Consider the following 18,105-nt stretch of genomic DNA (forward strand, 5'->3'; position numbering starts at 1 on the left):
GCATGGAATATGGAAAAAGCCTCAGAGTAGAATCAACTCAATTAGAGAAGGGAAAATAAAAGTGAATCTTTATGAATAGGTAGATGAGGCTGCTATCTATTCAGGATACCAGGAGGGCATTCAATATCTACTGATATTTTTACCAAATTCTTTAATTCTAACATTAAAGATCCATTATTTTGGTTTAAAAAATGGCTTTTCATTGAAAGCCATTGCTTAGCAAGGTTGTCATTTGGGCTCACCAGGAAAAAAAATATATTAACACCTTAATGAGTAAAAACTTTCTTCTGAATCTTCTTTTATTTTTTGAGACGGAATTTCACTGTTGTTGCCCAGGCTGGAGTGCAGTGGCATGATCTTGGCTCATTGCAACCTCCACCTCCCTGATTCAAGCGATTCTCTTGCCTCAGCCTCCCGAGTAGCTGGGATTACAGGCACCCGCCACCATGCCTGGGTAATTTTTTTGTATCTTTCTTAGAGACAGGGTTTTATCATGTTGGCCAGGCTGGTCTCAAACTCCTGACCTCAGGTGATCCGCCCACCTCAGCCTCCAAAAGTGCTGGGATTACAGGCGTGAGCCACCACGCCCGGCTGATACACATTTTTTAAAGTGGAATAAAAGTTCATAAATTCAGGCCTTTTTCGTAAACATAGAAGAGAAAAAGAACCAGAACAAAAGACATTTTATTTTGAGAAATAAATTGGAAAAAAATATTTTAAAATGTTTAATTTGCAATATACATAATACTGGAATTGAAATGCTGTCTGATGGAAATGTTGCAATGTGGAGTAGGAGGGTCAAGTTCGTGAAGATATTCTTAAAATTAATCTTGGAAACTCTGTGCCTATGAGGTTTCTCTAAAGTGGCTAAAATATGCATTTAATATGTTGTCTAAATGAGTACATTTAATTCTAGAGACTGTAAGGAGTAGAGATTATATGCTTTGGGGCTTTTTGTAGCATTTTTTTAAAATCAGTTGTACAGATCCCATTAAACGAAATTGTTTCTTAACAGCAAGAATCTGATCATTTAACTAGTTTTCTCAGCAATATAAAAGGAATACAACCTCCACTGTCATATATAACTTGTTGTCTCCTAGCTCCTATTTGAATTCCATTGGCTTTTATAGAAAGTTATTGAGTTAGTCAGACAGAAGGATTCATGATATATAATTTGTCATTTGTTATAATGGGATTTTCTTCTATTCCATTGTGGACTGCTACCCTCACCTAGGATAAAGCAGATATGGTTGCTATGAATTAGACTGTATCTAAGCTTCAAGAAATATGAATAATGCATTTAAATCCAGAGAATCATAGAATTAAAGGAAATCTTAGAACTAAGAATATATATAATATATATATATATTTCTTAAGATGGACTTTTGCTTTTGTCACCCAGGCTGGAGTGCAATGGCGCCATCTCGGCTCACTGCAACCTCTGCCTCCCAGGTTCAATTGATTCTCCTGCCTCAGCCTCCCGAGTAGCTGGGATTACAGGCACGTGCCACCACGCCCAGCTAATTTTTGTATTTTTAGTAGAGATGGGGTTTCACCATGTTGGCCAGGCTCGTCTCAAATTTCTGACCTCAAGTGATCCACCCGCCTCAGCTTCCCAAAGTGCTCAGATTACAGGCATGAGCCACTGCGCCCAGCAGTACTAAGATAAATTTAACCTTCTCATTTTAAAGATGAGGAAATTAAACCAGGACCTAATGAAGGAAAATGGCTTATCCAAGGCTACGTGGTTACTGCTAGAGCCAGGATAAGAATGTGGGTTGTCTGAATATTGTGTTTCTTTCACTCTTTCGTATTAACTATTAGGCAAACTTTCTGTCTGCCTATTAAAATTCAAGTCTGAATGCCCTTCTTAGGCCCCAATCAGGATATCCAAAAGCCACTTGCACAATAATTCGACCGTGCACTTGTTAAGTTGTGAAGATGAACGAAGTAGCAACTCAAGGAAACGTCAACCAATGGTATGATTTCACATTAAGTTGTCTAATTTGCTTTGTGGTGGTGGGTTCATCCCGGTACTACCCATAAACGAATCAGTAAATGAGACTTAGTTTCCAACCTTACTTCCCGACTAGACAACTGCATGAAAAATTGGATAGCGAATTATGAGTCCAAGTTCTATAGCTGGCATAGTCCTCATGCTTTAGCCCCAGCCTCTGAGCTTAGCAGAAGACATTTTGGGTCCTTATATATTGCTAGTAGGATTGTATAATTCTTGACTGTGTTGCAGAATCTTACAGGACTACAAAACTTACCATGATGTGTCTTATAAGGAAGACTTGCCAGGCAAATTTTCGGGCAAGCCAGCAAAATAGTTAAAGTAAGAGTAAAGAGGAACACGTGAATGATGGGGAGTTGGTCTAGGAAAATATTGTGAGGAAAATAAATGAAATTCTATGGTTAGCCCAAATAGACAAAGATAGCTTCTTCAACCCTAAGATCTATATCAGACAGATTCAATAGTAAAGATTATTAGCCTAAAGTTTAGTCTCCCTTGAAATTGTACATAGAATGTTTGTATATAAGCCATATAGTCATCATCTATTCACTGTGTCTATGATATTGAGAAGCAGCAAAATTATGCAATAATATAGACTTTGTATTTTAAGTGCTAGAAAATGAGATAAATGTTATCAGTTTGGGTGAAAAAGTAGAGAGTAGGGGTAAAAGCTGGACATTGCAAAAGGATTGGTTTAAGAAATACTGTCTAAGGGTTAGCTGTCAATGGTTGGAGAAGAAGGAGATCCTCCTTCCTCTCACCCATACATTTTTTCTTCTTTCCTCTTTTTCAATGATCACAGACCATTGGGTCTCTGCAAATCCACATTTTCACAGGGAGGAAGTCGGAAGTAATTGGAGCGACGGAGTCTCCTAGGGGGCAGACCAGCCATCTGACGGCAAAGCTCATCTAGAAGAGAAGCAGAACATCATGGGAAGAGAATGCAGAAGATAACAAAGGCTCTTGTTTTAAGGGATAGAGAAGACTTTTCAGTGTGGTGTAGTGAAAAGGTTGGAGAGAAAAAGATCCGGGTTTTAACCAGCTCTGCCACTTACTTTAGTTATTTGCCACTTCCTAGAAAGTTTCTTAAATTTTATAAACCTCACTATCCCTTTCTGTAAAATGAGAATTAAAATACCTACCTCAACAGTATATTTCTGAGTATTAAAATGAAATCATGTATGCAAAGTACCTAGCACAGGTGAGCAGTAAATGTTAGTTTCCTTTATATATCCAGCTGCCAATTCTTCTAATCATGGATCTATTAAATAGAAAAATGAGATCCAATCATTCAGTATACATTTACGTGCTTACTATGGGCAAACAGCTAACTTTAGGAAGTCCCTTGAGATACTTGAAAGTGCCTAGAGTCCCAAATACCCATCCTCAATCTCAAGGTGCTTCCCTTGCAGGTGGCTTGCACAAAGCCAATGGGGGCACACAGCAAGTTTCCTTCTGCGAAGTTAACTACAGCTCTTACTCAGGAACTCAGCACAAAGCGGGCTGCTGAGTCAGAAATGGCTTTGTCTGTGGTGTTTTCACCAACCACAGCCATCGTTCGGGGCTGGCCATGGGGAAGGTGAGAGTATCTTTGTTTCCACCATGTATGGTCTACAACCACACATTTTGGGCCCTCGTAATTGCCCCATAACATCTTTCTACCTTCTTCTACCTGAAATGTCACAGTAAGAAATGTTCATTGTTCTTGGAATTGGTGAACTATTTATAACATAGCTGATTTCTAAATGTCCCATCTATTTTTTATTTATAGGCCCTATCCAAACCTTACTGTCTCCAAATTAGTGCATGTGCGTGTGTATGTTTTATTTTTAGTTATGAACATGGCTGCGGACTAGCAGAGTCTATTATCTGTAATGGCTGACTTGAAATTTTCCCTAGAACCCCAGTGAATGATCTTTAAAATAGCCAGAGTGTCAGAAAGCTCTCTAAGTAGGAGACACTGTGGGGTTACAATCTAGTAGGACAGGGATCTAGGGGTACTTTTCTTAGGGTTATGTTTGTATATCAAGCATACTGCTTTATGTAGATTGTTTATTTGAGATAACTTCCAGCAGGAGCTGATGGACTCTAAGGGGGTAGCCTGAAGCCCTCCTCTAGTACCAGACTTTGGATATAGTAATATCATGTCCCTATCTACCCTTCTCATAACTGCTTCTCTCCATTAAACATCCAGACATCATCTTACCTTTCATAGCTTCGTGTTCCTTACAGACAAGACGAGAGCAGATCTCCTTGTTGACGATGTACATACGTCGTAAACTGCAGACGTCCCAGTGTCATAGGCAAGGAAGGAGATGGAAGAAAGCCTTGAGAGGAGAACTCACCTGGGTCTGGGATGCCTCTTCAACTCTCATATTCCCCACTTTCCCTATCTGCTTTTCCCCAACTGTATTTTCTTAAGTATTTCAGACTTTTGCCCCCCAACTGGAAAATAGGGGAGGGAATGGTATTAATTACTCTTCTGTTTTTTAAATTTTATTTCAATAGTTTTTGGTGTACAGGTGGTTTTTGGTTACATGGATAAGTTCTTTAGTGGTGATTTCTGAGATTTGGGTGCACCCGTCACCCAAGCAGTGTACACCGTACCCAATGTGTAGCCTTTATCCCTCATTCCTCTCCCACTCTTTCCCCTGAGTCCCCAAAGTCCATTATATCATTCTTATGTTTTTGCCTCCTCATAGCTTAGCTCCCACTTATAAGCGAGAACATACAATATTTGGTTTTTCATTGTTTAGTTACTTCATTTAGAATAATGACCTCCAGCTCCATCCAAGTTGTTGCAAAGGCCATTGTTTTAGTTATTCTTCTTAGTGACACTTTGCACACTCTACCTAAAGTCAGGCTTAATATTCCTCCCCACTATTTTCTACCTTAGAGCTGGGCCATTCTCTTCAGTCTCCTTCTATCAGGTAATAAATTGAGCATGCCAGTATTTCCCTCATGACCCTTCTTCCTCCAGCGCCCACCTTCATTTCCCTTCTAAGTTCTATTACTCTGCCTGTTCTTTGTACACTTCAGCCCATACTCCAGGTTCTAGTTGGTACATTCAGCAATAACTAGGAGGGTTGTGCTAAAAACTTTGGCCCCATCAAAGTTTGCAATTCCATAGTGGGTGCTCATTAAATAGTTATCAACACAGAAACACTACCATGGAAGATGCTTTTTGGGCATTCTGGGATCCCTTACCTGGTGAAGCATAACTGATGAATGCATTGTTTAACCGGCCGATGCACAGAGTAGAGCCTTGTGCAGGTAAATTTCTCATCCCAGCACTCTGAGGAAGCCCAATACAAAAAAATAAGGAGGTCCAAATAGAAGCAGCATAAATGAAGGATTGAAGGAATTGGGAAGGATAGATAGAGTAGGAAAAAAATACAGAGTAATCTCTACAGAGAATCATTATAAATTGGGCTACATCCTTTCCGTCCACCAAAAACACAGCAAGAGGGAATTGACTAAATGAAGTTTTGGCGCTTCCCTACTTGGAAGTAGAAGTGGATAAAATAATCTCTGAGAGCACTTCTAGGAATAAAGTCTTTCTAGAATTGTCCGTTATGAAATATAAAATAGGCTGGGCACGGTGGCTCATGCTTGTAATTCCAGCACTTTGCGGGGACGAGGCGGGCAGATCACCTGAAGTCAGGAGTTCGAGACCAGCCTGGCCAACAAGGTAAAACCCCGTCTCTACTGAAAATACAAAAATTAGCCAGGAGTGGTGGCAGTTGCCTGTAATCTCAGCTACTCGGGAGGCTGAGGCGGGAGAATCACTTCAACCTGGGAGGCGGAGGTTGCAGTGAGCCAAGATCACGCCACTGCACTCCAGCCTGGGTGACAGAGTGAGACTCCATCTCAGAAAAATAAAATAAAATAAAACAAAATAGTAAAATAAAATAGAAATGCTGATAATCCCATTCTGAAAGAATCAGATTTCTTAGGCAGGTTGCTATTTCTCTGTTCCAGTAGTTTTCAACCCTAGCTATATATCAGAATTATCAGTACATTAGGAAATGCAATTTTAACCATGGCCTCCGTGGTAATATGGAGTCCTTGAAGTTAAATTGATTTCACTTCCCAATCCACTAACCACCACATAATGTGCAAGGGTACTTTAGGGAGAGGGCTATTTGGGGACCATGCAACATTTGTTCCATTCTTTCCCCTTGACTTTTATGACAGGTGCTCATTTTTTTAAAAAAAAGAGTAAGGGAGTGAAGAACACTAATACTCTTTGAGAAATAATTGGAAGTAAACTAGAAGATGTGCCAAGTACCCTCCAAAGAACAAGGAGGTAAGGAATCCACAGGAAGAAAAAAAGGCTTAAGAAGGCATGCAAGCAACAATCATACCTGCAGTGGTATTTTTTTCACTGAGGGAGGCTGAAAGGCAGAAATTTTATTCCACTGTTACCAATTCTAGAAGTTACTACTTCTGTAACTGCCACACTGCCTCACTTAGGACCTGCTTGGAGTGCCCATAAATAGGGAGCAAATGAATTAATAACTCTTAGCAACTTCTAAAAGAAAACCCTTATTGAGCTGATTTGCTCCACAAAATTGAAGACATTAGGAGGCAGGATGGGATTTTTTTCCTTTCTCCTTTCCTTTCTAAAGAGTTGAGAAATTCATTGTATTGTGAGTATCTCTGTATTGTTGACAAGAAGCAAATTTAGTAGGAACACAAGGCAAAGAGTTACATGCCCAGAGGAGCTTCTTCCTAGAGCTAAGCAGAGAAAAGATTATTATCCTGTACAAGCTCTTCCTTATAAGAGAAAATTTATTTTCTGTAGATTAGATACATCATCATAAATTCTCTTGATAGAAGCTGTTGGGTAAAGAATAATGAGGGTCAGCTGGGCACAATGGCTCACACCTGTAATCCCAGCACTTTGGGAGGCCAAGGCAGGTAGATTATTTGAGGTCAGGAGTTTGAGACCAGCCTGGCCAACATGGTGAAACCCCCTCTCTACTAAAAATACAAAACTTAGTTGGGTGTAGTGATGTGCACCTGTAATCCCAGCTACTCAGGAGGCTGAGGCAGGAGAATCACTTGAACCTGGGAGGCAGAGGCTGCAGTGAGCCAAGATCGTACCATTGCACTCCAGCCTAGGTGACAGAGGGAGACTCCATCTCAAAATAAATAAATAAATAAATAAATAAATAAATAAAGAATAATGAGAGTCATCCTAACCTAGGGGCAAATTTAACATGGGCCTTATTCACAGAATGAAGAACAAGCCAAGGAGTTAGATGAATAGACTAGTCAGGGGAGTTACCAGGAAAAATGTCACTGGAAGTGTTGCAAATAGAATACTAGGACCTGTGTTATGAGATCTCATCTATCCCATGGTTTCTAGGCAGGTGTATATGCTGATAATTCCCAAACCTGTATTTCCAACCTCATCTCTCTCCTAAACTCCAGACCTATAAATCCAACTGCCTTTTTATGGAAGAGTTCTTGAATATTTCAAAGATCTTTCACATTCAATGTATATCCAACAGACTTAATTATCTTTCCCTTCACTAATTCTAGTTGTTATACAGTGAATGAGACCACCATCCACCCAATAGCCACATCTAGAAAACTGGATGTCATGGCTGGGCGTGGTGGCTCATGCCTGTAATCCCAGCACTTTGGGAGGCCAGGGTGGTTGGATCACCTGAGGTCAGGAGCTCAAGACCAGTCTGGCCAACGTGTTGAAACCCCGTCTCCACTAAAAATACAAAAAAATTAGCCAGGCTTGGTGGTGGGCGCCTGTAATCCCAGCTACTTGGGAGGCTGAAGCAGGAGAATTGCTTGAACCCGGGAGGCGGAGGTTGCAGTGAGCCAAGATCGCGCTATTGCACTCCAGCCTGGGCAACAAGACCAAGACTCTGTGTCAAAAAAAAAAAAAAAGAAAAAAGAAAAAGAAAACTGGATGTCAACTCAACAATCCCCTCTCCCTTATAGCTCACATTTAATTCTCCCTATCTCTACCTTGATTCAGGGCAGCATCTTTTACTGGGAACACTGCAACAGTGGCCCTGCTGGTTTTCCGGGTTCCAGGCGATCAATCACGGTCAAATCAGTTTTCCACACTGCCCTGGGAGTACAGTAGGGGGTTTGGAAGTGGGGTGTGATCCTTCCAATGCACAAATCTAATTATAATCTTACCTTGCATAAACGTCTCTCTGGTTGGTTTTCGTGTCCACCCTACACCTTTTGATTTATATTGTTTTCCTTACCTAAAAGCTCTTCCCTCTTCTATTAACTTAGTTCACTTTTACTTGTCTTTCAGGAAGCAGCTTAGTCAAATGTGCCCTCCACAAAAAACCTTTTCTCACCCCCAGCACCGAACCTAGTCAAGAACTCTTTCTGTGTCTTCCATAGCTTCTCTTGCTTATCCTGATTATCGAATTTTGTGAAACTGAATAAAGTTATCTGTTTATTTGTCTATCTTGTATATTACACAAAAGATGTCTAGTAGAAGAAAATCAGTTTTGTTCACTTTTATATCCTTGGCACCTAGTAGCAAGTTTTCAATAATGATTTGTTAAAAAATAATCTAGCCGCCTATAATCCCAGCACTTTGGGAGGCCGAGGCAGGTGGATCACCTGAGGTCAAGAGTTCAAGACCTGCCTGGCCAACGTGGCGAAACCCCATCTCTACTAAAACTACAAAAAATTAGCCAGGCATGGTGGTAGGTGCCTATAATTCCAGCCACTTGGGAGGCTGAGAAAGGAAAATCGCTTGAACCCAGGAGGCGGAGGCCGCAGTGAGCGGAGATCGCGCCATTGCACTGCAGCCTGGACGACAAGAGCAATAATCCGTCTCAAAAAAAAAAAAAAAAAAAATTCAGTCAAAGCATTACTTCTTCTACCCTTTATCCTCCAAAACGTGTTTATACTTTTATCTTGCCTTTACCCATCAAGTCTTGAAACTTTGAGAGAAAGATTAGCACAGTTCCTGTTTGTCAGGTGTTCAACAATGTCATTAATTTGAATTGAACTACTGGAAATATGTGCTCCATAAACTGTCATCCTGTCTTTTTAGGATCCTTCAGCAGCTGCACACTATCCAGAATGGGCTCTGGGGAAAGCCTAGAATGGCCCTGATGACCTGGGGGTCCCAGATCTGAACTCACCCAAGTCATCTGTGGAAGGTGCAATATCAGCCAAAACAGCCAAAACTGAAAAGGCACAAAACAGCAGGTATGAGGAGGGCTTCAAATTGCAAACACAAGGCAGAGTAAGAAAAGGGAGAATGGAGATACCGTGGCAGGTGGAAGACTATGTCTGGCTTTGTGTTTTATGTATAAGGGAATAGAATTAATTAAATAATTATAAATTTTTTTAAAGAATATTAGTCCTGGGTGGGGCGCAGTGGCTCGCACCTGTAATCTCAGAATTTTGGGAGGCTGAGGCAGGTGGATCACTTGAGGTCAGGAGTTCAAGACCAGCCTGGCCAATATAGTGAAACCCCATCTCTAGTAAAAATACGGAAATTAGCATGGTGGCAGGCGCCTGTAATCCCAGCTACTCAGGAGGCTGAGGCAGGAGAATCACTTGAATGCTGGAGGCAGAGGTTGCTGTGAGCTGAGGTTGTGCTGCTGCACTCTAGCCTGGGCTACAGAGCTAGACTCTGTCTCAAAAAAAAAAAAAAAAAATTAGCACTGTCACTGAACAACACTCTCACAACCTCAGTATCCAAAGATAGAAGCAGGCTGGACGCTGTGGCTCATGCCTGTAATCCCAGCACTTTGGGAGGCTGAGGCCAGGAGTTCAAGACCAGCTCGGCCAACATGGTGAAATCCCGTCTCTACTAAAAATACAAAAATTAGTCAGGCATGGTGTCGGGTGCCTATAATCTCAGCTACTCAGGAGGCCAAGGCAGGAGAACCACTTGAACCCCTGAACCCAGGAAGTAGGGGTTGCCATGAACCAAAATTGTGCCACTGCACTCCAGCCTGGGCAACAGAATGAGACTCCCTCTCAAAAACAAACAACAATAACAAAAAACAAAAGCAAATATAAAAGCACAGAATGAATTCAAGAGCTGGAATAAATATTGTGAATATTAACAAGAACCATGCCATTTTTTTTTTAACTGCGGTAAAATTTACCTGTTTCATCTGTAGCGGGATCATTCACCAGATCTGCAAAGACACATAACAAGGAATGAAAAAATGCAGTCAGGAAAAGTAGCTAAGGAAAGCAGGATAAGGGGACGATGATCTCAAAGGAGGCAAGAAAGGCTGAAGTGAAAGCCTGTGGACTCGGGCAGATGAGGGACTATCGCAGAAAGAAATGGAAGAGAGAGTAAGACTGGGCATGCGTACAGAGATGCTGGCATCTAAGGTGACAACAGAACTCTGCATGAGCTCAGAGCACCCTCCAACCCTTCTGAAGTCTTTATTTTTCTTTATGTAGACATGATCCTTTATCTATCCCCAATAAAACAGCAAACAAACAAACAAACAAAAGTGTAGCTTACTAGGATCTTCTGTGAATGTTTCTGGAGTCGCTTGAGTCACATCGTCTGAAAAGAAAATTAGAAAACAATTTCTGAGATTCTCTGTCTCCCTGCCACCCTTGCACTTCCAGTAAGTTAAATTGCGAAGCATAGTGCCCAGCGGAGTTGAGTATCCCACAAATGTTTTTCCTTGACTGCTTACAATAATGACAAACGATTGATGACTTCTTTGCAATACTTATTTAAAATGAAATCGGATATACCAAAGGCATTGTGATTTTGACATTCATAATTCTTTTTTTTTTTTTTTTTTTGAGACGGAGTCTCGCTCTGTCGCCCAGGCTGGAGTGCAGGGGCGCGATCTCGGCTCACTGCAAGCTCCGCCTCCCGGGTTCACATCATTCTCCTGCCTCAGCCTCCCAAGTAGCTGGGACTACAGGCGCCCGCCACAGCGCCCGGCTAATTTTTTGTATTTTTAGTAGAGACGGGGTTTCACCGTGGTCTCGATCTCCTGACCTCGTGAACCGCCCCCCTCGGCCTCCCAAAGTGCTGGGATTACAGGCGTGAGCCACCGCGCCCAGCCCATAATTCTGATATAATTGGGTATGAATTTGCTGATATGCTTAGGAGTGTTCATAAAAGGTAGTATTGATTTTTTTTTTTTTTTAAGAGTCTCGCTCTGTCACCCAGGCTGAAGTGAGTGGCCAGTCTCGGCTCACTGCAACCTCCGCCTCTTGGGTTCAAGCAATTTTCGTACCTCAGCTTCCCAAGTAGCTGGGATTACAGGCGCATACCACCATGCCTGGCTAATATATATATATATATATACACACACACACACACACATATATATACACACATACACACACACACACACACACACACATATATATATATATATATATTTTTTTTTTTTGAGACAGAGTCTGGCTCTGTCTGTCGCCCAGGCTGGAATACAGCAGCGCACGATCTCGGCTCACTGCAACCTCCGCCTCCCGGGTTCAAGCAATTCTCTGCCTCAGCCTCCAGAGTAGCTGGGATTACAGGCGCCCGCCACCACACCCAGCTAATTTCTGTATTTTTAGTAGAGATGGGGTTTCACCATATTGGCCAGGCTGGTCTTGAACTCCTGACCTCAGGTGATCTGCCCGCCTAGGCCTCCCAGTGTGCTAGGATTACAGGTGTGAGCCACTGCACCTGGCCTGTTTGCTAAATATTTAAATGTTTGCTAAGAGAGTAAATTTCAGGTGCTCTTATTATACACATACAAAAAAGGAAACTAATGAGGATATGGATATGTGAATTTGCTTGACTGTAGTAACCATTTCACTTTATACACATCTATCAAAATGTCATGGTGGATACTGTAAACACATACAATATAATTTATATGTAAATTAAAAAATAAAAGTAAATGTTAATGCTGTTTTGTTATTTTGCTTTTTAAAGTAGAGACCACTGGTTTTAGGAAGTGCTATTATTTACAGTTTCCTGTAAATACAAAATTAGCCTGGCGTGGTGGTGCACGCCTGTAATCCCAGCTACTCTGGAGGCTGAGGCAGGAGAATCGCTTGAACCCAGGAGGCAGAGGTGGCAGTGAGCTGAGATCGCGCCATTGCACTCCAGCCTGGGTGATAAGAGAGAAACCCTATCTCAAAAAATAAGAATAAAATAATAGTAATAACAATAAAATAAATATTAAGCAAACATTCCATCAGCAATTACCCTTCAATGTAAATAGCTTATATTCATAATCCATTCTACCCACTAGGGGTCAGCAAATTCACATAGTTTGCTTTGACTTTTTTTTTTTTTTTTTTTTTGAGACGGAGTCTCGCCCTATCGCCCAGGCTGGAGTGCAGTGGCGGCATGATCTCGGCTCACTGCAACCTCCGCCTCCCAGGTTCAAGTGATTCTCCTGTCTCAGCCTCCTGAGTGGCTGGGACACAGGCATGTGCCACCATGCCCGACTAGTTTTTGTATTTTTAGTAGAGACAGGGTTTCACCATGTTGGCCAGGCTGGTCTTGAGCTCCTGACCTCAGGTGATCCAACCACCTTGGCCTCCCGAAGTGCTGGGATTACAGGCATAAGCCACCATGCCCGGCCTGACTTCTTTTTTTAACTTCAGATTCTATTAATAAATGTCAAATGTAAATCTGATGGGAACAAATATTTTTATAAAGCATATCAGAGTTATGGATAATTATAAAAAAGGTGAAATACAAATAAAGCATTTCATAGGAATTTCCCTTGCTTACCTCATCCTGTTTTCTAAATTCCAGATAGAAATTCATCAGGTTTGGCTGGGCTTCATGGTTCATGCCTGTAATCCCAGCATTTTGGGAGGCCAAGGCATGCGTATCACTTGAGGTCAGGAGTTTGAGACCAGTCTGGCCAACATGGTAAAATCCCATCTCTACTAAAAATACAAAAATTAGCTGGGCATGGGTGGTGCATGCCTGTAGTCCCAATTACTCAGGAGGCTGAGGCAGGAGAATGAATTGAACTCAGGAGGCGGAGGTTGCAGTGAGCTGAGATCTTGCCACTGCACTCCAGCCTGGGACAGAGTGAGACTCTGCCAAAAAAAAAATTCATCAGGCTTGACAAAAAAGCCTCTTAACCTTTCACACTCATTATGGGCTTTCTTCTTTCAGAACACTTTTTTTTTTAAGTAGGATGTCATTGATTGGAAGAACAATCTTTTAACAAAAGGAATCCAAGTCTGTTCCAATCCCACAGGATATTTGAAAAACCACTAACCTGAATCATTCCAGAGACTGCAGGAGAGGAGTGGAGCCTCTCCCGGGTGTAGCCCAATCCTTCCTGGTTCCCTTTCTCTAGAGGCCTAGCTACATTCCAGTCCAGCCACTCACAGAAACAGGAGCAAAGCAATGGGGGAACAGAGGGCTTGAGAATGTATCCTAGCTGTCTCTGGGATTTCAGGGCAGAGTACTGCTTTTCTGCATATACCTCAGTTTAACCAACTGTTCCAAGAGCTATCACCATATAAATGCTTTATCTAGTATTCATGAAGTTCTCTCTGAAAAAAAAAATTAACGTATTTTCTTTTCCTTTTCTTTTTTTGAGAGAGTCTCACTCTGTTGCCCAGGCTGCAGTACAGTGGTGCCATCATAGCTCCTTTGCAGCTTCGAACTCCTGGGCTCAAGCGATCCTTTCACCTCAGCCTTCTGAGTAGCTAGGACAACCAGCAAACCACCACACCTGGCTTTTTTTTTTTTTTTTTTAAGAGATAGGGTCTCAGGCTGGCAGCAGTGGCTCACACCTGTAATCCCAGCACTTTGGGAGGCCGAGGCCTGCAGATCATCTGAGGTCAGGAGTTTGCGACCAGCCTGACTAACACGGTGAAACCCTGTCTCTACTAAATACAAAAAATTAGCCAGTTGTGGTGGCGCATGCCTATAATCCAAGCTACTTAGGAGGCTGAGACAGGAGAATCACTTGTACTTGGGAGATGGAGGTTGCAGTGAGCCGAGATCGCGCAATTGTACTACAGCCTGGGTAACAAGAGCGAAACTCTGTCTCGAAAAAAAAAAAAAATAAAAGGGTCTCACTATATTGCCCAGGCTGATCTCAAACTCATGGCCTCAAGTGATCATCCCACCTCAACCTCCCAAAGTGCTTGGTATTACAGGCATGAGCCACCACACCAGGCAAGACAGTTCATCATACCTTATGATATGTCTGCGAGAAAAGCATCTAAAGTCTTAACACAGGACTGGTTCCTAATCAGCCCAGAAAAATGAATTCCGATTTTCAGTTTTGCTGGTACTAAAATCTCGGGAGGCCTTTCCCCTAGTCTGAAGTCTAGTCACATTCCTGCCCTTTTTTCCTAGATTCAGATTTAGATTCAGAAACTCGGGGATTCGGGTATTTTTACCAACAACAGAAAAAAAATTTTTGTATTTTTATCTTCTGTACCAGGACCCACTGCAAGAAAAATATACTGTACCCTGGTATATACATATGGAAAACTAAGAGAAGTTTTATTAAAGTTGTATGAAATAATACTTTACTCTTGCAAAACACATGCAATGCATCCCGGTATATTTGTTTTGGTCTATCTTAATTCATTTTAAAAATTAATACCAGTTGTGACCCACTAAATTGATTTCATGATCCCATTAATAGGTTGCCTACTGGAGCGCTCTGTCCTCTAACTCTCCTGGGATGGGAGAAATAAAGAGATAAATTATAATTATGTTGAATGCCTTGAGGCAGAATGGAGTTTTCTTCATGAAGTCGAAGGAAGTGGTCCTCTAGGGGTCACAACTTTTGGGATTTTTGTTATAGAGAATGGTGTGAGCAAAAATTACCTAAAAAGCTGAAAAACCAAAAAATACCTTTTGGGTTTTGCTCAGTTGTGCCACAATTTCACCTAGGATTGACATGACTTCTTTTTTTCTAATTTTTTTTTTTTTTTTTTAGTCAGTTCCACTCTGTTGCCCAGGCTGGAGTGCAATGGCATGATCATGGCTCACTGCAACCGCAGCCTCCTGGGTTCAAGCCATTCTCATGCCTCAGCCTCCTGAGTAGCTAGGACCACAGGCATGCGCCACCATGCCAGGCTAATTTTTTTTTTTTCTAGAGATGAGGTCTCCCTGTGCTGCCCAGTTTGGTCTCAAACTCCTGGGCTCAAGCGATCCTCCTGCCTCAGCCTCCCAAAGTGCTGGGATTATGGGTATAAGATGACTTCTTATCCTGTCTTTCATTTTTCCACTGTTACATGAATTAAGGAACGCTTTTTGTAAGGACTAGTAAGCATTTTCTGAGTAAGATAGGAGATGTGTAAAGAAAAATGAAAACAGAAATGGTCATAGAGGATGTCTTGGGAAGGTGTTTCAGTAGTTTAAAAACACACACACAAGAAGCTTTTATGAATGGGATAATAGGATTGTGGAAACTGGTGAAGTTGATCCTATTTCTCACACTTTGGCAATGCATCTCTTTGTTGTAGGAAATATTCTTTTTTTTTTTTTTTTGGCAGCGATAGATAAGCAGGAAGGATTTTTTAACTCTGTTCATCTAAATTTTCCTGATAAGAACCCCAACAGAGCCGCTATCCAAGGGTTCACCTACCTCCTCGTTGACTATTGACCCCCAGGGGTATCCAGTCTATAGCAAAGGAAGAGAAAAGAGATGTGAGTGACTGCAGCTCTATACCTCGTAACCCTTTTATGAGACAAATCAGAAAATCATGGAGAAATGGTTATACTTTATCTTTGTGACTTATTCCTATATAGCTCAATATAAAATTACTGAGACCATTAGTGCTATGAACAAAACCAATAGGAATAGAAAGACTTCAGAAAGACAAGTTCCTTCACTGCTGTGCATTTGTTTGGTAAAAAGAAAAAAAAGACAAGTTCCTGAGAACAAAGCCCTGCTGCCCTCTTACCCTCATTCCTGGCCAGGAATGAAGTCCAGCTCCACTGAGAGGCCTGGCAGCCCTTCTAGCCCCACGGCTTCCCCGCTAGCTATGCTAGTGAACAAGACAGAAGAATTATTTTTCTCAATCTGTATCGGAAGAAGGAGGGAAAAAAATAGAGTAGGACATCTTTACAGCCTAAAGTTCACTTTCTGTGGCCAGTCTTCTAGCCAGATTCTGGGAAATCTGTGAAGATCACTTTTCTCTTGTGTGTCAGTATGGCATATATTTTTTGCATGCATGTGAGTATACCTGCATGCATGATGGTAATAGTGTATGTATTCCCACTGTTCTTCTTCAAGATTTACATTTGGTCCAGTTTCTTTTTTTCTTTTTTCCTTTTTTTTTTTAATGGAGATGAGGTTAACTCATCTCACTATGTTGCCCAGGTTGGTCTCAGTGATCCTCTCCACTCAGTCTCCCAAAGTGCTAGGAGTATAGGTGTGAGCCCACCATGCCCAGCCCAGGTCCAGTTTCTTTCTAGGTAGTCCCTCCTCTATGTTTGTGTATGCATTTGTATATCAGCTTCTTTTTTGCTTTGCAATTTGTTTACTCATATGTGACCCTCTTTGGGTGGTTAATATGCATTTGTGTGTATCTTAGTTGCACCTTAGTTTCATAATTCTTGGGAGGCCTTTCCCCTAGTCTGAAGTCTAGTCACATTCCTGAACTTTTTTTCTTAACACAAAATCTGTTCTTCTAATAGGAATTCCAGAGCTCAATACCAAGCATCTCTACTGCTATTCCTCTTCGACCTCATTCCATCCCATCTCCTGCCACACACGTGTATAGCTGAGGAGCTGAGGGTTTAGGGAGCAAAGAATAAAGGACTCACCAGAGGTGATGATGAATGCAGCAAGAAACAGCAGCACCTTGGGTCCCAAGAGCGACATATCTATAGGGGTGGTGGGCATAGCAGAGAATGTGATGCTCAGAGGCACATCAGCATTTCAGTGCCAGGGAAAGATGCCTCTGAGGTCCCTGTCTCTTTGTCTTCCCAGAACTTTCTTCATTTTCCCTTATGACTCAAACCCTTTCTCTCTTTTCTTACCTTTCACCCAACATTCATTTCTCCCTCAAATCTATTCCTTGGTCACTTACCATTATTCTTGCTTTTATTATTCTCTGCTACCAAGTCAGAGGAAATTTTACATTCTACATGGTCCGTACTTGGCCCTACCCTTTGGCCTCTTTCACCCCTGATGTGGAATCTTCCTTTCTCATATGCGTGACTTTTTCATATCATCTGCTCATCTTGGCGTCTCCTTCATCAGAATTCCACGGTTATTTGGGAGGTCTGCTCAAGACTAAGTTCAGTGACATTCCCCATTGCCCCCTCCAGCCCTTTCACACACACACAGACATACACACATTCCCTCTGTCTCTTTAGGGTTTCAGGTAATCAAATAACTCACTGTCTATGGTGTTCTGCTCTTTCCACCGAGTCCTTTGGCTGCTGAATGTGTCTCTCTCCTCTTACGCTGTTCCTACTTTGGCTGGCGAATAAGATGAACAGAGCCACTCCCTGGAAAGGACTTCAGATTTGGCCTCCGCTGAAACAATGAGATGAGGGAGAGCAAGAAAGCCAGGCTAGGCGTAGAATGTGTGTTACAATGAGGCTGGAATGAGAAGGGAGATGGGAATTTGCAGTTGCTCACACCCTCATTCCAAATGTTATGACTACACTGGTGAGAGCTCTTGCTGCTCCCTGGAAGTGTTGGCCCCAGCTCATGTATTGCCTTTCTTCCATTAGCCTATTTTCCCTCCTCTCACGATCTGGTCCCAGCTCCCCTTTGTTCCTTGGGTTCTTTCTTACCGAAAAGTTCCGTCTCCTCCTTGGTGTGTTTTAATGCACATTATAGATGCTGTTTCTCTCTCTCTGGCTATCTTCTTCTTCTTTGTTTTTTGTTTTTTTTTTTTAAGACAGAGTTTTGCTCCTGTCACCCAGGCTGGAGTGCAATGATGTGATCTTGGCTCACTGCAACCTCCGCCTCCTGAGTTCAAGCAATTATCCTGCCTCAGCCTCCTTATATTCCATATTTGAATCATTCCTTCATCCTTCTTTCTCACTTTCTTTTTCAATATTCGTCTCTTCAGCACTAACAAATTTCTTTTTATTCCTGTATTTCTTTTTCATCTCTGCCTCTTTCTTGACCTACACATTTAGACTC

General features: G+C 41.9%; 1 protein-coding gene across 7 annotated transcripts, besides 1 other annotated feature; it reads right to left on the reverse strand.

Annotated features, from left to right (window-relative positions):
* On the reverse strand, positions 666-17,549 carry MFAP5 (microfibril associated protein 5). Of its 7 annotated transcripts, NR_123733.2 has the most exons (11): positions 17,350-17,549; positions 16,770-16,829; positions 15,586-15,621; positions 10,509-10,553; positions 10,138-10,170; positions 9,160-9,204; positions 6,385-6,414; positions 5,225-5,312; positions 4,224-4,297; positions 3,210-3,278; positions 666-2,926 (listed from the first exon to the last, which is right to left on the reverse strand). NR_123733.2 is itself a non-coding variant. In NM_003480.4 (10 exons), the coding sequence occupies exons 2-10, from the start codon at positions 16,825-16,827 to the stop codon at positions 2,814-2,816; spliced, it is 522 nt and encodes a 173-aa protein (NP_003471.1). In that variant the 5' UTR covers positions 16,828-16,829; positions 17,350-17,549; the 3' UTR covers positions 666-2,813. The 7 variants fall into 7 exon arrangements, 5 of the variants coding, with proteins under 5 accessions (NP_003471.1, NP_001284638.1, NP_001284639.1 ...); NR_123734.2 differs by lacking the exon at positions 6,385-6,414; NM_003480.4 differs by lacking the exon at positions 3,210-3,278.
* Positions 2,600-3,799: an enhancer, noted in NCBI's record as "BRD4-independent group 4 enhancer chr12:8800473-8801672 (GRCh37/hg19 assembly coordinates)". NCBI's record gives its function as "activates an origin of replication core promoter dependent on BRD2, P300/CBP, MED14 and CDK7 cofactors, and independent of BRD4, by STARR-seq in HCT116 cells {active_cell/tissue: HCT116}" and the evidence as "EXISTENCE:reporter gene assay evidence [ECO:0000049][PMID:35650434]".

The sequence above is a fragment of the Homo sapiens genome, chromosome 12, assembly GCF_000001405.40.
Source record: "Homo sapiens chromosome 12, GRCh38.p14 Primary Assembly".
Taxonomy (NCBI): domain Eukaryota; kingdom Metazoa; phylum Chordata; class Mammalia; order Primates; family Hominidae; genus Homo; species Homo sapiens.

Coding starts and splice junctions, on each gene's coding strand:
- MFAP5 (NM_003480.4), bottom strand. CDS start 16,827: ATGTCGCTCTTGGGACCCAAGGTGCTGCTGTTTCTTGCTGCATTCATC. Junction 6,415..9,159: donor ACCTTCCACAGATGACTTGG/GTGAGTTCAGAT, acceptor TCTGCCTTTCAG/CCTCCCTCAGTGAAAAAAAT. Junction 4,298..5,224: donor CATCAGTTATGCTTCACCAG/GTAAGGGATCCC, acceptor GGACGTCTGCAG/TTTACGACGTATGTACATCG.